The sequence below is a fragment of the Homo sapiens genome, chromosome 6, assembly GCF_000001405.40.
Source record: "Homo sapiens chromosome 6, GRCh38.p14 Primary Assembly".
Taxonomy (NCBI): domain Eukaryota; kingdom Metazoa; phylum Chordata; class Mammalia; order Primates; family Hominidae; genus Homo; species Homo sapiens.
In genome coordinates, this window is record NC_000006.12 from 44,942,963 (window position 1) to 44,968,073 (window position 25,111).

At 36.7% G+C, this 25,111-nt stretch overlaps 1 protein-coding gene across 29 annotated transcripts in view, besides 1 other annotated feature; it reads right to left on the minus strand.

The window, feature by feature from the left end:
* SUPT3H (SPT3 homolog, SAGA and STAGA complex component) overlaps window positions 1–25,111 on the minus strand; it is a 568,878-nt gene that overhangs the window by 133,906 nt on the left and 409,861 nt on the right. For 22 of the 29 annotated variants that reach the window (NR_146632.2, NR_146634.2, NR_146633.1 and 19 more), the window contains 3 exons: window positions 18,791–18,866; window positions 11,533–11,645; window positions 10,348–10,455 (listed from right to left, as the gene is read on the minus strand). Coding sequence is in view for 18 of the 29 variants with exons in the window: in NM_001350327.2 (NP_001337256.1) it covers window positions 10,348–10,455; window positions 11,533–11,645; window positions 18,791–18,866 (297 nt within the window). In the remaining 11 variants the exon portion in view is untranslated. Of the gene's footprint in view, window positions 1–7,080; window positions 7,222–10,347; window positions 10,456–11,532; window positions 11,646–18,790; window positions 18,867–25,111 lie in introns of all 29 variants that reach the window. The other 7 variants (NR_146635.2, XR_007059346.1, XR_926320.1 and 4 more) reach the window with 3 other exon arrangements.
* Window positions 21,777–21,977: a silencer, noted in NCBI's record as "peak5818 fragment used in MPRA reporter construct". NCBI's record gives its function as "represses an SCP1 promoter by STARR-seq MPRAs in K562 erythroleukemia cells {active_cell/tissue: K562}" and the evidence as "EXISTENCE:reporter gene assay evidence [ECO:0000049][PMID:32103011]".

Here is a 25,111-nt window from a genome sequence, read left to right on the forward strand (position 1 = left end):
CTATGATGTATTACTCACAATGTCCACTTTACAATTCAAAATTACCAGACATGCAAAACACAAGAAAGCATGACTTATATTCAATGGAGACCAAGAAAATTCACATATTTAATTTTGCAATCAAGAATTTTAAAACAGCAATTCTAACCATGCTCCAAAGCACAAAATAAAATACATTTGTAACAAACGGACAAATAAAAAATAATGATAGATAAATGGAAACTATAAAAAATCAAATAGAAATTTTAGAAGTATAAAATGAAATATCAGAAATAAAATATTACTAGATGGGTGTCACAATAGATTGGAGTTGACAGAAAGAAATGTATAGAAGATAAAAGTTCAATAGAATTGCTCCAATCTGAAGAACAGAGAGAAAATATTAAAAGAGGAATTAAAAAGCACCTAAGTTACCTATGGAATAATATCAAAGTAACTAATACAATGTACTTGGAGTTTCAGAAGTGAAGGAGAGGGAATAAGGCAGAAAAAAATCTGAAGAAATAACTGCCAAAAAGTCCCCTAATTTGGTTAAAGACATACACTGTCTTTGATTCAAGAGATTCAAGATTCAAGAATTTTGGTGAATTTTCGGCAGGATAAATACAAAGAAAACCATGTCTATGGATATCATGGCCAAACAGCTGAACATCAAAAGTAAAAATACAATTCTGAAAGCATCCAGAGAAAACAACACATTAGACACAGGGAAACGATAATAGAAACCTACTGACTTATGATTAAAAACAATAGAGAAAAAAGTGGAATGACATCATTAAAATACTGAAAAATAAAACTTTCGAGACAGAATTCTGTATCTAATGAAACATCATCCAACAATGAAGAAAAAGTAAAGACTTTTTCAGAAATATCAAAACTAAGATAACCATCACTAGCTAACTTGCACTACAACAAATGTTAAACAAAATTTAGCAGAACAGAAAAGAAAAATGATACAAGAAAACTCTAATTATGAAAGAGAAATAAAGAACAATGGGAATGGTAAACAATAAGCTCTTTTTTTTAGTTGCTTCTCAGCCTTTTGGCTAAGATCAAGTGAAGCTCTATTTTTTTCTCTTAGTTTCATTAAAACGCACTAGATTATTTAAGACAAAAATTATGGTATTATGGCTTATAATATATATAGATGTAGTATGCATGACAATTATAGCATAAAGGACCTGGACCTATATATATACAAGAGTCTTACATTTTATGTGAGTTAAACAGTGTAATAACTCCCAAGTATACTGAACATTTAAGGATGTACATTGTAATTCTTACCATGACTACTGAAAAAAGGATGCAAAAAGATATCATAAAGAAATCAATATATAAATTAAAGGGAATTTCTAAAAAACACACAACCCAAAAGAAGACAGGAAAGAGAAACAGATAAACAGTAAGAGAGGAAATAAGCAGAAAAGAAATAGGAAAAGTTACCCTATATCTGACCACGTGACTTAATACATCAAATATCACAGAATTATGGACTACAATTAAAAGATACAGATCGGGGGAGGGCACAGCAGCTCATGCCTATAAAAGCACTTTGGGAGGCTGAGGTGGGTGGACCGCTTGAGCCCAGGAGTTTGAGAATAGCTTGGGCAACACAGTGAAACCCTGTCTCTACAAAAAAAAATACAATAATTAGCTAGGCGTAGTGGTGCATGCCTGTAGTCCCAGCTACTCAGGAAGCTGAGGTGGGAGGATTGCTTGAGCCTGGGAGATTCAGGCTGCAGTGAGCTATGATCATGCTACTGTACTCCAGCCTGGGAGACAAAGCAAGACCCTCTCTCCAAAAAAAAAAAAAAAAAAAAAAAGAAAAGAAAAAAAGATACAGACAGACAGAAAGGAGGAATAAAGAAGCAAGACCCAATTATTTGCTGACTATAAGAGATGACTTTAAATATATTATATTTATCTTTCAATACAGGCATACCTCACTTTATTGCACTTTGATTTATTGTGCTTCACAGATGTTGTAAGTTTTGCAAATTTAAGGTTTATGGTAACCCTAAATCAAGCAAGTCTTATCAGTGCCATTTTTCCAAAAGCATATACGTGTCCAACTTTATGTCTCTGTGTCATATTTTGGTACTTTTCACAGTATATTTCAAATATTTTCATTATTATTTTATCTGTTATGGTGATCTGTGATCTTTAGTGTTACTATTGTAATTGTCTTGGGGCGCCACGAACTGTATTCATATGAGATAGCAAATTTAATAAAAGTGTTTGTTCCGACTACTCCACTGACTAGCTGTTCCTCCATCTTTCTTCTCTCAGGCCTCCCTATTCCCTGAGACACAACAATACTGAAATTAGGCCAATTAATAACCCTACAATGGCCCCTAAGTATTTCAGATGTAAGGAAGAGTTGCATGTCTCTCACTTTAAATCAAAGCCTACAAATGATTAAGCTTAGTGAAGGAGGCATGTTGACAGCCAAGACAGGATGAAAGCTAGCCCTCTTGCCCCAAATAGCCAAGCTGTGAGTGCCAAGGCAAAGTTCTTGAAGAAAATTAAAAAATGCTGGTCCACTGAACACACAAATGATAAGAAGGTGAAACAGCCTTATTGCTGATATGGAGAATGTTTCAGTAGGATGAATAGAAGATCAAACTAGCCATGACATTTCCTTAAGTCAAAGCCTAATCCAGAGCAAGGTGCTAACTCTCTTTAATTCTGTGAAGGCCAAGAGAGATGAGAAACATGCAAAAGAAAAGTTAGAGGCTACCAGAGACTGGTTCATAAGATTTAGGAAAGAAGCCATCTCTATAATATAAAAGTGCAAGGTGAAGCAGCGAATGATGATGTAGAAGCTGTAGCAAGTTGTCCTGAAGGTTAAGCTAAGATCAATGATGAAGATGGCTACATGTAACAACAGATTTTCATTGTAGATGAAATGGCTATTAGAAGAAGATGCCATCTTGGCCATTCATAGCTAGAAGAGGAGAAATCAATGCCTGGCTTCAAAGCTTCAAAGCTGACTCTCTTGTCAGGGGCTCATGCAGCTGGTGATTTTAAGTTTTAGCTAGTGTTCATGTACCATTCTAAAAATCAGGATCCTGAAAAATTATGTTAAATCTATTCTGCTTATGCTCTATAAGTGGAACAACAAAGCCTAGATGACAGCATATCCATTTACAGCATGGCTTACTGAATATTTTAATTCCAGTGTTGAGACCTACTATTCAGGAAAAAAAGATTCCTTTCAAAATAATTACTGCTCATTGACAATGTATCTGGTCACCCAAGAGCTCTGCTGGAGAAGTACAAAAAGATGAACACTGTCTTCACAATAGCTAACAAAATCCATTCTGCAGCACAGTTCAAGAAATAATTTCAACTTTCAAGTTTTATTACTTAAGAAATATATTTCATAAGACTATTGCTGCCATAGATAGTGATTCCTCTGATGGATCCAAGGAAAGTAAATGAAAATCTTCTGGAAAGGATTCATTATTCTACATGCCATTAAGAACATCTGTGATTCACGTGAAGAGGTCAAAATATCAACATTTACAGGAGTTTGGAAGAAGCTGATTCCAGCTATCACGAATGGCTTTGAGCGGTCCAGACTTCAGTGGAGGAGGTAACTGCAGATGTGGTATAAATGGCAGGAGAACTAAAAGTGCAGCCTGAAGATATGACTGAACTGCTCAATCTCATGATAAAACTTGAATGGGTGAGAGTTGTTGCTTATGGATGAGTCAAGAAAGTGGTTTCTTGAGAAGATGTCTATATCTGTTGAAGATGCTGTGAACATTTTTAAAAATAACTACAAAAACTCCTACAAAGGACTTAGACTTAGTTCCATAAACTTAGCTGATAAAGCAATGTCAGGGTTTGAGAGAACTGACTCCAATTATGAAAGAAGTACTGCTATGGGTAAATGCTATCAAACAATATCACGTGCTACAGAGAAATCTTTCAAGAAAGGAAGAGTCAATCAATGTGGCAAACTTCACACTGTTGTCCTATCTTAAGATATTGCCACAGCTACCCCAACCTTCGGCAACCACCACCCTGATCAATCAGTAGCCATTAACATCGAGGCAAAACCTTCCACCAGCAAAAAGATTATGACATGCAAATGACTCAGATAATAATTAGCATTTAAAAAATAAAGTATTTTAAAATTAAGGTATGTACATGTTTTAGACATAATGCCATTGCAGACTTATAGACTACAGTATAGCGTAAACATAATTTTTATATGCACCAGGAAAGCAGAAAATTTGTGTGACTCGCTTTATTGCAATATTCACTTCAATATGGTGGTGTGGAAACAAACCTGCAATATCTCTGAAGTATGCCTGCAGAAACATACAAATATATTGAAAGGAAGTGGATGGAAAAACATATTATGTAAACAGCAATCACATGGCTGGAATGGCTAAATCAATCACATAAACAGACTTCATATGTACAGCATTTTCAGTAATAAAAAGAGATATTTCATAAATATAAAAAAGAGAGAAAATCCATGTTCATGGATTGTGAGACTTAGTATTGCTAAAACATATCCCAAACTGATGTAAGCAGTCAGCCTAATTCCTTTCAAAATCCCACCAGGCTTTTCTTTTTTTTCTTTTTCTTTCTTTGGCAGTAACTAACAAGTTGATTCTAAAATTTACATAGAAATGCGAAGAACACAGCATGTCCATATTAAGCTTAAAAAATAACAGAGTTTGAAGACTTACATTATAATCAAATAAACACAAATGAAACTCCAAAAATAAATCCATTTAGATATATTGTTCAAGCAATCCAATGGGAGAAAAGAGTCTTTCAGCAAATAGTTCTGCAATAACTAGATATCCATAAGTAAAAATTGGATTTGGCTTCAACTCATACAATAAATGGATTTTAATTTGACCAGATTAATAGAACTAAATACAAAAACCAAAGAGATAAAGCTTCTAGAAGAAAACACAGGACAATATCATCATGACATGGGAGTAGCCAAAGGTTTCTTAGGACACAGGCAATAAATATAAAAGAAAAAAATTGTGTAAGGAAGGGATCCAGTTTCAGCTTTCTACATATGGCTAGCCAGTTTTCCCAGCACCATTTATTAAATAGGGAATCCTTTACCCATTTCTTGTTTTTGCCAGATTTGTCAAAGATCAGATGGTTGTGGATGTGTGGTATTATTTCTGAGGGCTCTGTTCTGTTCCATTGGTGTATATCTCTGTTTTGGTACCAGTACCATTCTGTTTTGGTTACTGAAACTAGATCCCTTCCTTACACCTTATACAAAAATTAATTCAAGATGGATTAAAGACTTAAATATTAGACCTAAAACCATAAAAACCCTAGAAGAAAACCTAGGCAATACCATTCAGGACATAGGCATGGGCAAGGACTTCATGACTGAAACACCAAAAGCAATGGCAACAGAAGCCAAAATTGACAAATGGGATCTAATTAAACTAAAGAGCTTCTGCACAGCAAAAGAATCTACCATCAGAGTGAACAGGCAACCTACAGAATGGGAGAAAATTTTTACAATCTACCCATCTGACAAAGGGCTAATATCCAGAATCTACAAAGAACTTAAACAAATTTACAAGAAAAAATCAAACAACCCAATCAAAAAGTGGGCGAAGGATATGAACAGACACTTCTCAAAAGAAGACATTTATGCAGCCAAAAAACACATGGAAAAATGCTCATCATCACTGGCCATCAGAGAAATGCAAATCAAAACCACAATGAGATACCATCTCACACCACTTAGAATGGCAATCATTAAAAAGTCAGGAAACAACAGGTGCTGGAGAGGATGTGGAGAAATAGGAACACTTTTACACTGCTGGTGGGACTGTAAACTAGTTCAACCATTGTGGAAGACAGTGTGGTGATTCCTCAAGAATCTAGAACTAGAAATACCATTTGACCCAGCCATCCCATTACTGGCTATATACCCAAAGGATTATAAATTATGTTGCTATAAAGACACATGCACACATATGTTTATTGTGGCACTATTCTCAATACCTAAGACTTGGAACCAACCCAAATGTCCAACAATGATAGACTGGATTAAGAAAATGTGGCACATATACACCATGGAATACTATGCAGCCATAAAAAAGGATGAGTTCATGTCCTTTGTAGAGACATGTATGAAGCTGGAAACATCATTCTGAGCAAACTAACGCAAGGACAGAAAACCAAACACCGCATGTTCTCACTCATAGGTGGGATTTGAACAATGAGAACACTGGGAGACAGGGTGGGGAACATCACACACCAGGGCCCGTTGTGGGGTGGGGGGAATGGGGAGGGATAGCATTACGAGACATACCTAGTGTAAATGACGAGTTAATGGGTGTAGCACACCAACATGGCACATGTATACATATGTAACAAACCTGCAGGTTGTGCACATGTACCCTAGAACTTAAAGTATAATTAACAAAAAATTAAAAAAATAAATAAATGCAAGCGGAATATTGTCAAAAAAAAGAAAAAAAAGAAAAAAATTGGATAAATTAGGCTTCATCAGAAACTTAAAATTTCTCAGCTAACAAACTGAGAGAAAAATATGTGAAAAATATGTGTTTGATACAGGACTGTTGTCACAAGATATGTAAAGAACTACAAACTGGTAATAAAAGTCAGCCCCTTTGCCTGCAAAAAAAAAAAAAATGGGCAAAGGATTTGAAGAGACACTTCTCAGAGTAAGATACATAAATGGCCAATCAATACATTAAAAAGTGCTCAACCTTATCAGTCATCAGAGAAATACACACTTAAACTGTTATCAGAAAATATCCACTAGAATGGCTAAAAGTAAAAATGACAATGCCAAATGTTGATGAAGCTGTGGAGCAACTGGAACTCTAATACACTGTTGGTGGAAGTATAAAATGGTACAACCTGTTTGGAAAAAAAGTCTGTTTCTTTAAAAACCAAACACATGCCTAACTCTATGACCCAACAATTTCATTCACTGCCATCTACCTAAGAAAAACAAAAGCATTTGTCCTTCCAGACTTGTACAGTAATATTCATAGCAGGTTTATTCATAATACCTCAGAAACTGGTGACAGTCCAGATACTCACCAACATGAGAATGCATAAACTGATATGTTCAAGGAAGTCTGTTCTTTCTTTATGGAGAAGTACTTTTAAATAGTTGAAGACTTATCTTTCATAGCCTCTTCTCTTTAATGGTCAAACACCTCAAGTTCATCCCAGCAGTTACTACAAGAAATGTTTTTCAGTTTCTTCAGACACCTGCCCCCTTTCCCATTACTCTCCTTTAGACATGCTCCACTGTGTCAATGTCCATTCTATAGGATGATGCCCAATACTAAAAAAATTCCTTATCAGTCACATCACAGTATTGGCTCCTAAGAAATTCACAGGCAAATAAAAATCTCAAAATCATTTTAATGTATGGTATTATTAATCTACATTTTCCTCATCATCAATCATACCAACTGCACTACTGGCCCACAATTCTTCATAATGTATTTTAAAAAATAGCCGAGCATAGTGGTGTGCCTGTAGTCCCAGCTACATGGAAGGATGAGGCAGAGAGATGGCTTGAGTCCAGGAGATCAAGGCTGTAGTGCACTATGATCATGCCTGTGAATAGCCACTGCACTCCAGCCTGGGCAACATAGAAAATCTAGAAAGTTAACTTGAATTAATATTAAACTTGCTAATCTAGTAAGAACCCAAGCTTAACCAGCCCAGTTCCTTATATGGTTAGTGCTCAAGAATGATACCCCTTAAAATAAAATGCACTGTGTATTAACCCACATCTTGAGTTTCCAATTCTAATCCACTGTACATGGCACTACCATTTGGATCTTTTTTTTTTTTTCCTCTTGTTTTATTTTTTATTATTATTATTTTTTATTTATTTTTTATTTTTTATTATACTTTAAGTTTTAGGGTACATGTGCACATTGTGCAGGTTAGTTATACCATTTGGATCTTAAAACACCCTTTTGAACTCCTCACCCTTCAGCCAAGAAACCATCAACAATTCATTCCTTCCTAACTCTAGCAGTCTAAGACTCTATATAATCTGAGCCTTAATTTTCTAATCCAAATGCCTACTATTCCTCTTTAATGAACCTTAATCCTTGAATATTTTAAACAGCGTTGGGTTTTTCTCCTTCTAAAATGGTACTTATGCTGTCTTTGAGTCCTAGAGTATTATCCTAACTTCTACCTTATCATAGTCCTATTTTTCTTTTAACCTTAGCTTTCTCTCTAAAGTCTTTGACTGCAACTAGAGAAGGTTTTTTTTTTTTTTTTTAAACTTCTGTATTTTCTGTCTGAGTCACTCATTTGGAAACCAGTATATGCCATCTTAAACTGTTTGTTCAATTATTTGCTTATTTGTTTTACAAAATATCCTGTCTCCCTGAACAGAGATCACATCAGTCTCCAGAGTCCCACTTTGGACTCAATTTGGTATAGTATTTGATGTACAGGCCCTTGATGTTAGCTGCTGATTTTGTCAAGTGATAAAGGGCAGGAAGGAAGACTTCCAGTCTCTGAATATTCATCTTGACTACCAGTCACAGGAGGGGAGGGGTGTCTGCCAGCCAGAAAAAAGTTTGAGGCTTATACTAACATATTTTGTCAGGAGGCTCTCTGACACTCATGCTCCCACCTCCCAGAGAGCCCAGGAAATCCAGCACATATAGGATATTCCTCTCAACTGCTGGGTAGCTGGGAACAGCGGCTGCGGTTGCTGAGCAGTTGCCTAGGGCAGCTTGGCCACCCTGGAGAACCAAGAAAAGAGGGGAAATAAAGAGTTTTCCTAGGCATGCAAGCAATCACTTGAATGTTAAAAGAAAACTAGGCCCGTTGTGTTCACAGTAAATTTTCTCAATTAGAAATGTTATAACAAATTTGTCTGATGTTAATGGAAAGCATACTTATACACATATTCATAAAGTGAACAAACATCAAAGACATTTTAAAGGGGGTTTTTTGACATCATAATTTGGGTTTGTAACATAAAGAAAACAAATAGTGATTAATCAACTAAGTAAGCTTTAGGGACTTTTGTATGTTGACTGATAATGATGTATGACCTTTTCTAAGAAAAAAATGGATTTTTAATGGGCATAAACATTTTAATCCCTATTTGGTTTCCAAGCCAATTTGATTTTCCAAGGGGCATAAGAAAATGTTGAATTGTCCTTTTGTTTGTAATAAGATGCTATATGGGCATATATGTTAACATATTTTCTATGTATCCTAGAGCAGAGAAATTTAAACCTAGGGTCCATAGGGTTCACAGATCCCTTGGATCCATAGAATGGCTTCAGAATGTCTCTGAACAATCTGAAACTGTAGGCAAAATTTGTGAATGTGTTTATAGAAAAAGGGTTTATAGTTTTCATCAGATTCTCAAAGGGGTGTGTGACCTAAAGAAGATTACAACTACTTCTTAGAAATGATTTGAACCACTATCCTTGCCTATAGATATTTAACAAGGAGTAGAAATGTGTAATCAAGGTATGGCTATAAAACAGAGCTTAGCCATTTTCAGGTTATATATTTCAACCAACTTGATCCAAAACGTACTTCACAACTCTACATGTAGATGCGAACTTAACCTTCTTGCTGTCTTATCTATGGATATTCGATTGAATTACGTGAAACTGCTGTTTTTGTTAGTGAAAAGGGTCGAATATTGGCAAATACATTCAAGACACTGCAATACATTTCTGGTTTTGAGGTAGATGCTGTTTACAGAGGAGATTCTGTATACTAAAAGTGGTGCACAGTTATTATACAGAGCCTTAAAATTGGAAAGAAAACTTTACGGTTCCCATAGCAAAGCCAGATCAGAAAAGAATATAATTTTCACATAGTAGGGGCAATCTAAAAACTCAAGATGAATGAAGACAAGCTTCTTTAAATCATTTTTAGAGATGAATCAATAACTGAAATGGAAAGTTATCAATAAATGCCAGGGATTATTTTGTGAATAATAATGATAACCCTCTTATCTTTTGAAGCACAAAGAAATAAATGACTTTTCCAACATTACCTAAACCAGTTTTTCATCTCCCATAAAAATAAGAAATGCCTTGCAACTATCCCTTTCAATGAAGGGGTAGGAAAGCTAAGTGAAGCAAGAAAAACGTGAAAAAAGTCATTGTCTTAAGTGGACTGTCAGGGCCTGGCACACAGTAGGTGCTCAATTAAATACTTATTTGAATGTCTAATGTATTAAGATTCTTTGACTGAAGGTTATACACTCCTGCATAATCTTTATTAAAGAATCACTAATGTAAATACCAGATATGTGTCAAAATTCACAAATGTTTTAAGACAGATTTTTTTTGTACTTACCTCAGCAGAGTTGTGATACTGAATGAAGGTTGCAGAAATGGCATGGCTGAAGGGGTCCCCTGCCTTGGTTACCATGTCTTGCCTCACAAGAAGAGCCAGATCCACTAACTAGAAGACCAGAAGAATGAAAGTCACATAGCTAGAAATAATCATGAATGCCACTGAAGTGGCAAACCTAAAAGCAATACATTCTGAATGTTACTGATAATCCTGCTTGCCTAAAAATCTATATTGTAGACATGAGCACACACTTTCATTGACTGGTGAATGGACCTAGTCATGATATATTCTGACTTTTTAGGAGAGTAGTTCTCAAAATTTATTTCACAGTCACTAGTGCAAATTTCTGGGCTTTAAGTCCAGAGATTCTAATTCAGTAGGTCTGTTTTAAGCATATAGTCTAGGAATTTGCTTATTTTATTTTATTTTATTAATTTTTGAAATGGAGTTTCGCTCTTGTTGCCCAGGCTGGAGTGCAATGGTGCGACCTCAGCTCACTGCAACCTCGGCCTCCTAGGTTCAAATGATTCTCCTGCCTCAGCCTTCCTGAGTAGCTGGGACTACAGGTGCCCGCCACCATGCCCGGCTAACTTTTTTTTGGTATTATTAGTAGAGATGTGGTTTCACCATATTGGCCAAGCTGGTCTTGAACTCCTGACTGCAGGTGATCCACCCACCTCGGCCTCCCAAAGTGTTGGGATTACAGGCAAGAGCCACCGCGCCTGGCCAGAATTTGCATTTTAAACAAGAACCAAGGAGATGCTGATGCCTGTGGTCTAAAGACCACATCTTGAGAAAGTCTTTTAGAGGGCGAGATTCCAGACCCAGAATTTGGTAAGTACTCCTAAATTCTCACATACGTAGAAAGGTGTTTTTCAAAGCTCAAAAATAATCTCTAAACAAGGCAGATGTGGATTTGAGTTCAATGTCAAGAAAAAGCATGCAGGGATTCCATTTCTCATTAAGATAAAGGTACAAGAACTCTTTTTTATCCTAGCATCCACTTGAATTGAGGATGCAGAGACACATAACTGAACTAAATTTTAGAAAATGATGTAAATGCCACAGGAGAGAATTCATGGCTGTTATTACTGGTAGAGCAGCAGGGAGAAGAAGAATTGATCATGGGCAGAGATAAAGAAAAACCAGCCAGTGTGGCCCGATATGACAGATTAGAATTCTTACCTGTGCCACAGTTTCATACGCTAAATATGCTAAGATTTCCATTGCGACAACATTGGGTTTTATCTCCATACTGCTGCAGTCCAACCAGTCTCGAAATTTGGAAGCTTTTTTGGCTGGCCATTTAAAAAAAACAAGTGCAGAAATTTTAATTTTTAAAGTGTTTTAATACTGCACATTACTATCACAAAATTAAAAAAGTATACTCAGAATTGTACACAAAAAATAATGCACATAAAATGCATAATTAATGTCTAGATATTCTGGCCCCAAGAAATCCAAGTTTTAACTCTCAGTTATAAGGCAACACAATGGTTGTTTTCAACAACTCTCTTACGTATTTGGGTCTTTTATTTTACACCTATGCTATATGACATAGTATATTAAAGCATTTAATGTTTAATACTTCTCACACTGTCAGATTTACCATTGGCTACCGCTCATGTTACAACAAGAAGTCAGAAGATGTTCTTGTCTGATGTAACCTTAATTTACTCATATAGAAAGAAAATCTTGCAAGAAAGAACCTGTGATGAAAAAAGAAACATACAGAAACTATTGCTAATATTTTTCAAAAATATTCTCTAGTCTCAGAAGAAAATGGCACATAGCAGGCAGGATTAACTTGCAGCTCCCACTTGGATGGGTAGAGCAGCACGTGGAGACCCACACTGTGAACTTTTGCTCCAAGAACTACCGTAGGAATATACCAGGAAAGCCAAGAGCCACAGACCCCTTGAAGGAGGTGGATCACCACTGCAGGCTCTGTGGGACGCAGAGGAACTGTGAGTAGGCTTGCTTTCTCAGCTAGGAAGCCGGTAGCCTGGGGAAAGTTCTCAGCCCTGCTCACCAGCTGCCTGGAAATAAAGTTGGTGCTGTTACGGGCAGAGGGCATGGTGGAGTGAGACCGGCCTTTCGGGCTGTGGGCTGCATGGGAGCTGGGTGAGGCCTGCGGCTGCTGGCTTTCCCCCACTTCCCTGGCGACCTGCGTGGGGCAACAGAGGCAGCCATAATGCCCCTGGCAACGGTAACTCCCTTGTTCTAGAAGCCACACCCTCATCCCCCACAACAGCCACAGCAAGCCCCGCCCAAGAAGAGTCTGAGCTCAGACATGCCTAACCCTGCCTCCAGCTCATGGCAACCCAAATATCCTATACTCTCACTTATAACTGAGAGCTAAACTATGAGGACGCAAAGGCATAAGAATGATACAGTGGAATTTGGGGACTCAGGGGAAAGGGTAGGAGGGGGGTGAGGGATAAAAGACTGCACATTGGGTACAATATACACACTGCTCGGGTGATGGGTGCACCAAAACCTCAGAAATTGCTACTAAAGATTCATGTAGGCTGGGCGCGGTGGCTCACGCCTGTAATCCCAGCACTTTGGGAGGCCGACGCGGGCCGATCACGAGGTCAGGAGATCGAGACCATCCTGGCTAATATGGTGAAACCCCGTCTCTACTAAAAATACAAAAAAAATTAGCCAGGCATGGTAGCGGGTGCCTGTAGTCCCAGCTACTTGGGAGGCTGAGGCAGGAGAATGGTGTGAACCTGGGAGGTGGAGCTTACAGTGAGCCGAGATGGAGCCACTGCACTCCAGCCTGGGCGAGTGCGAGACTCCGTCTCAAAAAAAAAAAAGATTCATGTAACTAAACACCACCGGTTCCCCAAAAAACCTACTAAATAAATACGTTTAAAAAAAGTGTCTAGGTCGGGCGCGGTGGCTCACGCCTGTAATCCCAGCACTTCGGAAGGCCAAGGTGGGCAGATCACGAGGTCAAGAGATGGAGACCATCCTGGCCAACATGGTGAAACCCCATCTCTACTAAAAATACAAAAAATTAGCTGGGCGTGGTGGTGCGTGCCTGTAGTCCCAGCTACTCGTGAGGCTGAGGCAGGAGAATTGATTGAAACCGGAAGGTGGAGGTTGCAGTGAGCCGAGATGGCGCCACTGCACAACAAGAGCGAAACTGTCTCAAAAAAAAAAAAATAAAAAAAAAAAATAAAAATAAAAAAAAAAAAGTGTCTATTACCAGAATGGCTCAAAGTTGTAAATTTAAAGTTAAATAAACTGACATCTGGTCTAATCTAAGCCTGTGGTTACATTTTTTCCGGTTATGAAGATGTCTAAATTCTTAAGCCTGACTCAAAACCATCCAGACTGATTCCAAGCAGCCTTTAAGATATTTCCCTATTAAACCATCACCTGGCCTTGAGTCTTTTCCTCTGTGTGTCTACTCCTACTCCTTTCCTTCCATGGAATGCTCTGCCATCACTCTTCTTCATTCATATGAATCTTGATCATACAGGCCAAAGGTATACTTCCCTACTCTAGCCATTTATTGAACACTGATACCATCAGATATTCTTTCACAAATGCTTATAATTTCTTAAGCCATATTACAAATTTTTGTGGGAGAAGACCATGCCTTATGTCTCTGCATGTGTAATAGTACCAAGCATATACAGAACCAAGCGCGTATGTAACCTTTAGTTAAATATCTCTACACTGCCACAGTGCTAAGCAGTCTAATTTGATATAGGGACTTCATTAGACATTATTCATTTAACTAGTAACCTAGAGGGAAAGATTGATAGTGAAGATTTTATGAAATCTGTAAGATTTTCTTTATAATCCACTGATTATTCTTTTGATTAATCTGGCCCCACGGGTCTATAAAACACTTAATAGTAACTCAAAGCATGATATTTTGATCCTTCTATATAGAATCTTCAGGATTCCACATACAGAAGAGTTCTCTTTTAAATAAATCATGGAAAACATTAAGTCCTGCTATCGAAGCATATACCCAAAGCTGTCAAATATGGCAGAATTATGATAATCCCCCTTAAAGCTATCTCCCCAACGTAACAAATCTTCCAAATACTTTCTGACATGCAACATTCCATCTAACTAGTATGCTGCGATAGCTCACAAACACTTGTTTAACATCTGTGGAATACTTCTAAAGTTAAAGTTAACAGGCAGCAATTTGGCAAGATCAATGAGATGTACATTAATCACTTATCTCCTTGACAGATCTTTAGGACAGAAACAGATATTTTGTGACTGTGCTCTAAACAGTTGATTTTAAAAGTGAGGGAAAGGATCATTATTAATATTCAGTTGGATCTATCCACATAACAGAATTAGCTTCCTTGCTAGATTGTAACCACCGAGAATGCAGGGACAAGGACCATATATCTCCAACTGTATCCCTAGCACCTAGAATACTGCCTGGCATTAGCAGACTCACAAGAAATATTTCCAGAAGAAATGAATAAATGAATGAAGTATTTTTTAAATAAAAGAGTAGAGTCCAAACTTTTCTATTCATCAAAAGACATGCATAGAAGTCCAAAAACCACTTGGGTTATTGCTGTTCCACCAAGTGGTGGAGATTCTTTGAGAGCTAATTCCTTCCCTGTCATGTGGAGAAGGATGGCTTTAGAGCCTCACCCTTCCAAGGTATTGTTGGTTCCAGCAAAAGAGGCACAGATACCTGTAGTTAAGACAGTTTGTTTTCATCAAGAGGTGAGAGGGGCCTCAGAATAAACAAGTTCCTTCTCCTTCGCCCCTCTTCCCAACGTATCAGGAGAAACGATAACCTGGAAATTGACTAACAAACAGAATCCTGAGCAATGGTCAAAAGTTCCTAGGATTATTAGCATTGTAATACTACCTGGATTTTCAGCCTGCGCTGAACTTAAAAAGCAATTTTACATGATAATTTCATATGGAAATTTAAGGTTAATCTCACATACTTTTTATCTTTCTTATCAATGATCACTAACAAAATTTAAGTTTCTTGCAATATTCCATTCTCTCATGCCTGCATACTATTCAGTGATTTCTATCCCATCCCTTCCCAACAGTCTTTCCATTCCCAGTCCTTTCCTTAGGGTCCTCTGGAATGCTCATTCCACTCAGAAGAAACTACTTTGCAACTTCAACCTAATTGAAAATAGCCTTCTTCAGAGGGCATGGTTTTCCCTGGAAACTTCCCTAGCAGGAGTTCCTTATTCCTTTCCTTTATACATATTTATGGGCAACTACTTGGGCCAGTGTGTTCATTTCCCCATATAAGGGGGGACCTGGCGTCAATGTCTTCATTCTCTTAGTTTCTTCCACAGGAAACATACATAATAAGTAGACTGACAGCAAACTTCTACCAACAACAGGGGCCAAAAGACAAGGGAATCATGTCTTAACAAGTTAACTATCAGCTTACCATTTCCTACCCAACTAAACAATCATTTAAGTATGGGGGCAAAATAAAGACATTTAAGAAAAAAAAATGGGTGTTTTTAAGCTTGTACAGAGCTGTAGGAAAAAATGACATTAGGCCAAGAAGGAAAGTTTAAGTACTTATCAATGGTTTTTTTTTTTTTTTTTTTTTGAGACGAGTCTCACCCTGTCCCCCAGGCTGATAGTGCAATGGCGCGATCTCGGCTCACTGCAACCTCCACCTCCCGGGTTCTAGTGACTCTCCTGCCTTGGCCTCCCAAGTAGCTGGGATTACAGGCATGCACCACCACGCCTGGCTTGTTTGTTTGTTTGTTTGTTTGTATTTTTAGTAGAGACAGGGTTTCACCATGTTGGTCAGGCTGGTCTCTAACTCCTGACCTTAGGTGATCCACCTGCCTCGGTCTCCCAAAGCACTAGGATTACAGGCGTGAGCCACCGTGCCTAGCCAAATATTTAACAATTTTAAAAACTTTACGTCATGGATGTATATCAAAAAAAAGATAGCAACTGAAATAGTACAAAGAGAATATAGGACTTACAAACTTGCAGAGGAAAAAGAAATGAAGAAAACCCAATCAATCTAATACAACATAGAAAAGGAGGAGAAAAAGCAAATTAAAAAGCACAGAAATTTAAAACACAAGACAGCATATACAATATCAGTAATTAAATCCATATAAATTAATCAATTAAAATACACAGAGCCTCTCTGATTACAAACAAAATCTAGATAAAACCAAATATAAAATAAAAAGTTGAAAGTAAAGGACTGGAAAATAATTTACCAATTATACATTTTAATTATAGATTATAAATTTTAATGATTTAAATTATTATAAATTATTCTTTATGATTATGAGCTTTGTGTGTCAATATTAATATCAGATTTTAAAAGACTTTAAGAGAAATAACTCTCTGACTTATATACATATGAAAACAAAAGACTGAATTGTGAATTAGATTAGTGTGCCGATGCTACAGCTTACCCTCAGCCTATAAAGTTACAGACTCATTATTTTAAAATGTACCAGTAATTCCAGGGATGGCTATGATCAAATACTTAAGAAGATACATATGGCAGGACCACAATTCCTGTATCTTGGTAATTTATTAGAAGGAGAAGAATGAAAAGAGCATAACACTCTGACGAGTGCAGGAATAGCTTCTGAATTTGCTGACCCACGTGGATTAAAGCATTCTCAACCACAGTATTTTGCCATATAAAACAGATTTCCCCACCAAGGTTTCATAATAAAACACCTATGGGCACCATATATAAATAGTTTTAAATGACCAAGTCCTTCCACTCTAAAGAAAAGAAAATTAAACATAATACACTGTTTATACTATAGTTATTTTATACAGAAAGGGAAAATATTATTTTTTAATCTACTATAGTTTATTATTGAGTTAAAAACAAAACATGGGCCGGGCACAGTGGCTCACCTGAGGTCAGGAGTTCAAGACCACCCTGGCCAACATAGTGAAACCCCGTGTCTATTAAAAATACAAAAATTAGCTGGGTGTGGTGGTGCACGCCTGTAGTCCCAGCTACTCAGGAGGTTGAGGCAAGGAGAATCACTTGAACCCAGGAGGAGGAGGAGGAGGAGGAGGCTGCAGTGAGCCGAGATCGCACCACTGCACTCCAGACTGGGCAACAGAGTGAGATTCCATCTCAAAAAAAAAAAAAAAAGAACAAAAGCAAAACAAAACAAACAAAAACAAACAAACAAAAAAACATGAAGTAACTGAAAATCTGATTTTCAAAGAGAAGGCATATTAGGAGACTTTAAGATTATGAGTTTCAGTGTGAAAGTAGTATGTCTGTTCCTTTAAGTGAATTAAATTTAAAATATAATTTAAAAAAATAGTTCAATTGCACTAAATGTTACTTTATAAACTGGAGGTTGATACTTATAAAGACTTGAATGCCATTTTTAAACCTAAAAATTACAATACAAAACCTTTCATTTGCTGAAATTGCCATGATCTGAAGTGCCATTTACTTAATGCTTCACAGATGTATGATGCCAAGTTGTTAGTCAAATTGGAAAGTATATTTAGTCAGAAAAAAAAAATCTTCCAAAACATGTTTTCCTATATTTTACTGACATTTACATGGGATACTATGCAATGTGTCATTTATTTGCACTTTATAATCTATAAATGAAGCTCTCCCTTTCTTTTTCCAAATCAAATATGCTGTTATTGGGACCACATAATAGCTTTCCATTTAAAGACACCATTGTTTCTATAATCCCTCAGACCATGGTCATGTGCTACTTTGTCATATTTTTGACTGGACTTTTCATCACACTTTCTTCTTTGACCTTTACCCCGAGAGCCTTAGTCACAACTGAAACTTTGCTGTAAGGATGTTTTGCTACACAATCTAGCTCACTATTACGAGTCATTATACACTTTCAATAAGCTGATGTGCAGTGATGTGAAAGTACTAATTTTACCACGAGGTTACTAGTGTTACTAGAGCATGTACTAATAAATTTGGCTAACACTGAATACATGCCACGGTAGGAGGTTAGACAAAAATGGAAGAGACCAGTGATATGTTCCTTTGTGGTAATGAGTATACATAAAGGAAAATAATTAATATTAGGGTCCTTTAAATGTCATGACTACTATTAGAGTCCATTACGGATCAAATGCAATCAGAAATACTAGTGTAAATATGACTAGGAAACTAGAAATTAAAATGGAAATACTAAGACAATGGAATTTTTATGATTAAAAGTACTGTAAATAATTACCATAGCACTCTGTATATTACCAGCACCACTTAAGACCTCTTAATGTTATTAACTGCAAAGCAGTAGAATGTAGGAAAATCATTTATAGGCTCCCCACAATGTAGACGTTGTTTGTATAGCACTTACAACTACACATATATTAAATCCACCAATTTCTAAGAAACAGATCCTGTCATACTTTAGTACATCTATAACACAAATCTCTTATGCATATAATTAAGCAAAGTTAAATAGTTACTTACAGAAACTTAATTGTCGACTTTCACAGAATTCTGCATATTGAGCTGAATCCATAATTCGAGTTTGTCTTTCTGCTCTCTAAAAGATAAAAATACATAACATTTTTTAAAGCAAGCAGATTATTATATATGTTTTCACAGCTTAAACTTAGAATTGAAGTACCATTTTCCTTTCCTTATTCCAGGTGAACAGGGTAGTACTACCACATAGATCACGATACATAAAATCACAATAACTAACACTAGTTGTGAAGCTGGTGTCTTTTGGAAATAAAGTTTAAATATTACTTTCTGCTCCTTTGTTATTGAAACTAAAACTAAAGGACCTCACGTCTAAATTTTCTGACTTGTATCATCCTTTTAAAGAAAAAGAAAATGATGAGGGAATAATAAACCAAACAGAAAAACTGTTACAAATATTATTGTCAATCTGCTTTAAAGCTGTGATGTTCAATGTTAAACAAGAATCAGTGAATGGAATCCATATATTCCCTTTCAGTCAGAATCTGGGGCCACAGTTGACAAATCCATATTTTAGATTGCAAGAAAATAAAGAAAAAGGTAAACACAATACAGATCCTTTAATCTGAGTCCAGGTATGATTCATTTGGTATAGTTTCATTTGTGGAGTTTTTGATTCAGTATAGCAGATGTTTACTGCTTCACTGTCCCACAAGAGGTAGGATAATTATAATTCATCCATAGTTTGGTGGGAAAGAATATGACCACTTCCGCTTCCTTGGTAAGGAGAGCATTTTGAAATGAGACAGGCTGGTACTTCTTGGAATGAATTTCTGCCCAGCGAAGAAAAAAAAAAATCCCTGAGATTTAATTTTTTTTTTCTGTTGTGGAAGAACTTTCAGCAAGTTACCTTTACCATCGTTGTCAGAGCACATAAGTACCATTTCTTCTAATGTCTGTGGATGTTTTTGTATTTTTGAAATAGAAATTATTCTTTTTTCTTTTATTTGTGTGAGTAGTCAATTCCAATGATAGGTCAGTTGATGGAATGAATAATGGTGTACTAACTGGAGCTTAATAGAGAATATAGATGGGGCAGTAGGAGTTAAGGTAAAAATTACTAGTCACTACCGTGGTTCCTTCTAAGACCAATGACTGTTTTTCCCCTTCCTTATTTTCTGTCTCCCTTTTTTCTTTCTCTCCCTCTCTCCCTTCCTTCATTCCTTACCTCCCACACATCCACATACTCACAAATCCAAGTCTATCTTGGTTATTTACCCACTAGGTTCAAGTATACTTTTTGGGCATATACAAACATTTTATATATATACACATATAATGTATATATGTATGTGTATATATATACACATATAAAGATAAATATATAAATTATATATGTACACATATACACATAAATTTCTTTTTTTATATATATACACAAACACACATATATGTATATATGTATGTAAACATCTTCTTGTGCATGTGTCAGAAATATCACGTCTCGGCTGGGTGTGGTGGCTCACGCCTGTAATCCCAGCACTTGGGAGGTCCAGGCAGGTGGATCACTTGAAGGCAGCAGTTCGAGATCAGCCTGGCCAACATGGCAAAACCCTGTCTCTACTAAAAATACAAAAATTAGCTGGACATGGGTCTGTAATCCCAGCTACTTGGAAGGCTGAGGCAGGAGAATTGCTTGAACCTGGGAGGTGGAGGTTGCAGTGAGCTGAGATCACGCCACTGCACACCAGCCTGGGTGACAGAGTGAGACTCCGTCTCAAACAAACAAACAAACAAACAACCACACAACCACGTCTCCTTAAGAGTATATTATTGGGTTAATTTTTATTTACTTGGAAGTATTTTTTGATATTTAAATGCATGATCTAGTTTTAGCCCTCTTTTTAATGTATCTGACACATGACTCAATAAATGTTTCCTGATGAAAATAGGAAGCAAGAAAGGGAGAATTTATTTATGTGTTTTGAACATTACAAAAAAAGTTGCAGCTGGGCACGGTGGCTCATGCCTATAATCCCAGCACTTTCGAAGGCTGAGGCGGGTGGATCATGAGGTCAGGAGATTGAGACCATCCTGGCTAACACGGTGAAACCCCATCTCTACTAAAAATATAAAATATTAGCCGGGTGTGGTTGCATGCGGCTGTAGTCCCAGCTACTCGGAGGCTGAGGCAGGAGAATCGCTTGAACTCGGGAGGCAGAGGTTGTAGTGAGCCAAGATCACGCCACTGCACTCCACCCTGGGAAACAGAGGGAGACTCCGTTTCAAAAAAAAAAAAATTGTTAATGTGTTTATTTAAATAAACTCTCTAAGACTGATAATACTAACGTTAATTTGTATCTATGTACGTATGTTTGTGTATATATATCTGTTTGTCTGTGTCTCACTATAGCAGGAACTACTCACGTTTGAATTTCTAGCTCCTAGGAAAATATCTGACACATGGTAAATAAGCAATAAACATTTGTTGGATGAACAAATGCGACTGTTTTATTCCACAGGGCAAATGACTATCACCATAATGAAACTAGATCGAGAATGATTATCTAATGATTCCTACATACCATCTCTGCTGCTCTCCAGCTTGGTAGCCTCCTCCAACCAATAAATGGCTGGACAGAAAAGATTTGGATAACTATGGAAAAAGAATGTTCCTAAAGGGATTCTTAACACTAACTTTTTCTTCCACCAAGTTGGACAACCAAGATTTGGCCTCTGCATATATGCTTACATAGCTGATGTATTCGCAATAAGTGTTTCTAGAAATGAGAGGTAGCAAAATTTGTCGTCAGAGGTTAAGGTTGCCAGGATTGCCAGCTACAATATTTCAAAGATATCCATAAACATGTGAAAGACTAAATTATGGCAAGCTTCATTCCTTTCAGACACCCTCTCCAATGCCTATTCTCTTTTCTTCATTAAGCATCCTAGTTCTTTTTTAATTCCTCCAGCATCGAAGCAGTAAACTTTGATCTGAGGAGCCCCACAAATCTGACCCTAGGGTATATATAAGAAGCCATTTATCCAGTGCCTAGCACACAGGAAACACTCCACGCAAAGCAGCTGACTCAACAGCAAAGACTTATAGACAATACAAAATCATGGCTTAGAGATAGAAGGCAGCTTAAAGTTTATCTTGTTCAAATCTCTTCAATTCAAAGGGAATTGAGGCTCAGAGAAGTGATTTGTCAAAGGTGGACTAAGTTAGAATTCAAGCTCAGGACTCCCAATTCCTAAGTCAGCCTATTTTCATTATAAAAAGCTGTCTTCAACTAATGGTAATTTTTTATTCCAATGTTTTCCTTTGGGATGCTCTAAATTTCATATATTGTCTTACTAAAACATGTCATGTAGCTCCTACAATTAACATGCTCAAACTATTCTTAAGAAAAAGAAATTAGCGAGGCCCTGGGTCAGCAAATGACGTACAAGCTGGGGGTAATCTAATGAAGAGTGTAGAAACTGTAGTGTATCTGATAGTGCAAGCACATCACAGGTGTGTAGAGATACTGATTCCATTCACTCTCTGGATGCTGAACGAAGCTGAGGCAGCAGAACCCCTAGGCTGGTATCTGCTACCAGCTGCCTTGTCCATTTACCTTGGTGGGTGATAAAAATATTATCATTTTCTATGTGTGCCATGATGTGAGAAAGACTGGAAGCACTGTACTAATACTAATGTCCTTGAATATTATATGATATAACACATGAATGGTATTCACAGCATAGTCAAGGGAGTTCATGAAATCAGAGATTCTTTGAGCTATATATGCACTGACTTGGATTTGAGGATGATGAAGATGATCTGGATATGCTTATCACCTAATTTTTGTTTATTCCTCTCTCTTCCCCTGAATTGTTTAAAAAAAAAATGGAACAAATTTTGGCCAATGATGAAGATGATTTGGATATGCTTATCACCTAATTTTTGTTTATTCCTCTCTTCCCCCAGAATTGTTTCAAAGATACAAAAAAAAAGGAACAAATTTTGGCCATATGATCCAAATAATTCAACATCTGAGTATTATATTTTCTCCTGTCCTTCCACTATCATCTTAAATACTGAGAAAGGGAGTAAATATCTAACTTTCATGAACTGTATGTTCTCCAAATACAGGAACCGTGCTGCTCTTCTAGAGTGCTGAGGCAATGCTTTGCTTGGATTTGCCTGGGCCTCACTAGCTGAATCAAGGGACAGATGAATGGATGGACTAGGACAAAAGAAATGCGTTTAAGTACGTGTTGACCGGCCTAAGACCAGAAACTGTAAGAATTAGGATCAAACTGTAATCCAATTTTACAAATCCCAGGGAGACAAGGCAGTTTTAAAGACAAAAATCCATTAAAAAAATCAAGACAGTGGTCAAATATTAAATAAGTGTGGCTCTTATTTTCTGTGGTGCCCTAATTCTACCTTCTCCTCTGCCTCTATTCAGATCACCCATTCTGATCCATACTAAAGTATACACTGGCAGTCCTTTTCTATTCCTTTAAGAAATCTTTGGAAAAAGATTCAAGGGGACAATATCATAAGCCTAGTAAAACATCATGATCAGAATAATGCTTACTCTTTACTGAGATGGTTTTATTTTTAAAATGAACATAATTTTTTTTATTTTTAAAATGAAACTAATAAAACTGCTTATTCTTTGAGATGGTTTTATAAAATAAAATTTATAAAATATTTATATTTATTTACATATTTAAAATATTTATAAAGTAAAACCATCTCAATAAAGAGTAAGCAGTTTTATTAGTTTCATTTTACAAATGAAGACACTGATTTAGAGAACTTAAAGGAAAACTTTAAAAGCATACAGTTAATAAAGAGGCAAAACTAGAAGTAAAACTTGGGTCCTAAATACCTACCTCTAAGGTATACAAAGTTTCTCAGAAAACAGTTACTATTCTAGATCATATTACTTGTAATGAAGGTTGTACTCCCTTTAGGCTCTAGTTTCTTTTGAACTAAATATTACAATGCAAACTTAATTTTAAAAGACTTACTTTGGCTATTCCGTATAGTCATTAAACTATAACAAAAAAGACATCATATCATTGTCAAAGGCACTGAAAACACAAATCTCTGAAATAAAAGTCACTGAATAATCACAGATGATTTATCATGGCTTTTATTCATACTGAACATTCTCAAATTACACAATGCTCTCCTATCTCAGACGGCCACATGAATGTAAGGTCATCTTTGGATTAGTCATACTCTTGTATCTGCAAGTCCAGTATGTCTTCTGCTTAATCTGTCAATTCCACCCACTCCCTGGTTTCTTTAGGTGTCATCAACAGCATTCTTGAACATTCATAAAATATGCAACATACTTAGAGGATTTTAGGAAATTAAATCTTACTAGTATTACAATATAGCTAAGTATTATAACATAGGCACAAATGTGGAGAAACTACTTGTGAAAGAATTATTCCTAAAGTTTTCCAAATACTCAACAGTATTTTAAAATTTAATTGAAATAGCTTTTTAAAAAGGTAAAACAGAATAGTTGGTGACTAGTTGCTTTTCTCACTACCGGGAAGTTACAGCATTTTCTTGTTATTGTAAAACATACAGAGAAGGCAGACTTTTATGCTAGATGAACTCACTTTCTGCGTCCTACTTAAATGAAAACAGAAATGCTAATATCCCTACAGATACAGTGCCTAGTATAATTTGTTTGTTCAATATCGTGAATACAACAAACTCTCGGTACATATTTGTTAATCTGAATTTTCAGTGAAAAGTTTTTATTTCAATTAATGTGAAGTTGATTGTGCCTTTGAAAAATACTTTCAGTACGGACAATCATCATTTGCCCTGTCTATACCACTTTGAGGTGTAAGGCTGGATTACTTATGCAGCATGCAGTTGCATTTAAATTCCATGTGCTCTCACTGAAGCATTTTTAAAGGTTATGGAAGCTATGTGCTGGCATATCTCTTGGCAGCTTCTCAAGGCACATGGCATTTAACTTTCTTCAGCAACACAAAAACACAGAGCATAACTTTCAAACCAAGATGAGAGTATCTGCTCTCACTTCTACTTCAACATTTTTTTCATTTCTTTTTTGAGACAGGGTCTTGCTCTGTCACCCAGGCTGGTGTGCAGTGACACCATCATGGCTTACTTCAGCCTCAACCTCCCCAGTTTAAGTGAGCCTCCTGCCTCAGCCTCCTGGGTAGCTGGGACTACAGGTGTGTGCCATCAGGCCTGGCAAATTGTTTTCTTATTTTTATAGAGATGAGATCTCTATAAAATTGCCCAGGCTGGTCTTGAATTCCTGGCCTCAAGTGATCCTCCTGCCTCGGCCTCCCAAAGTGCTGGGATTACAGGCA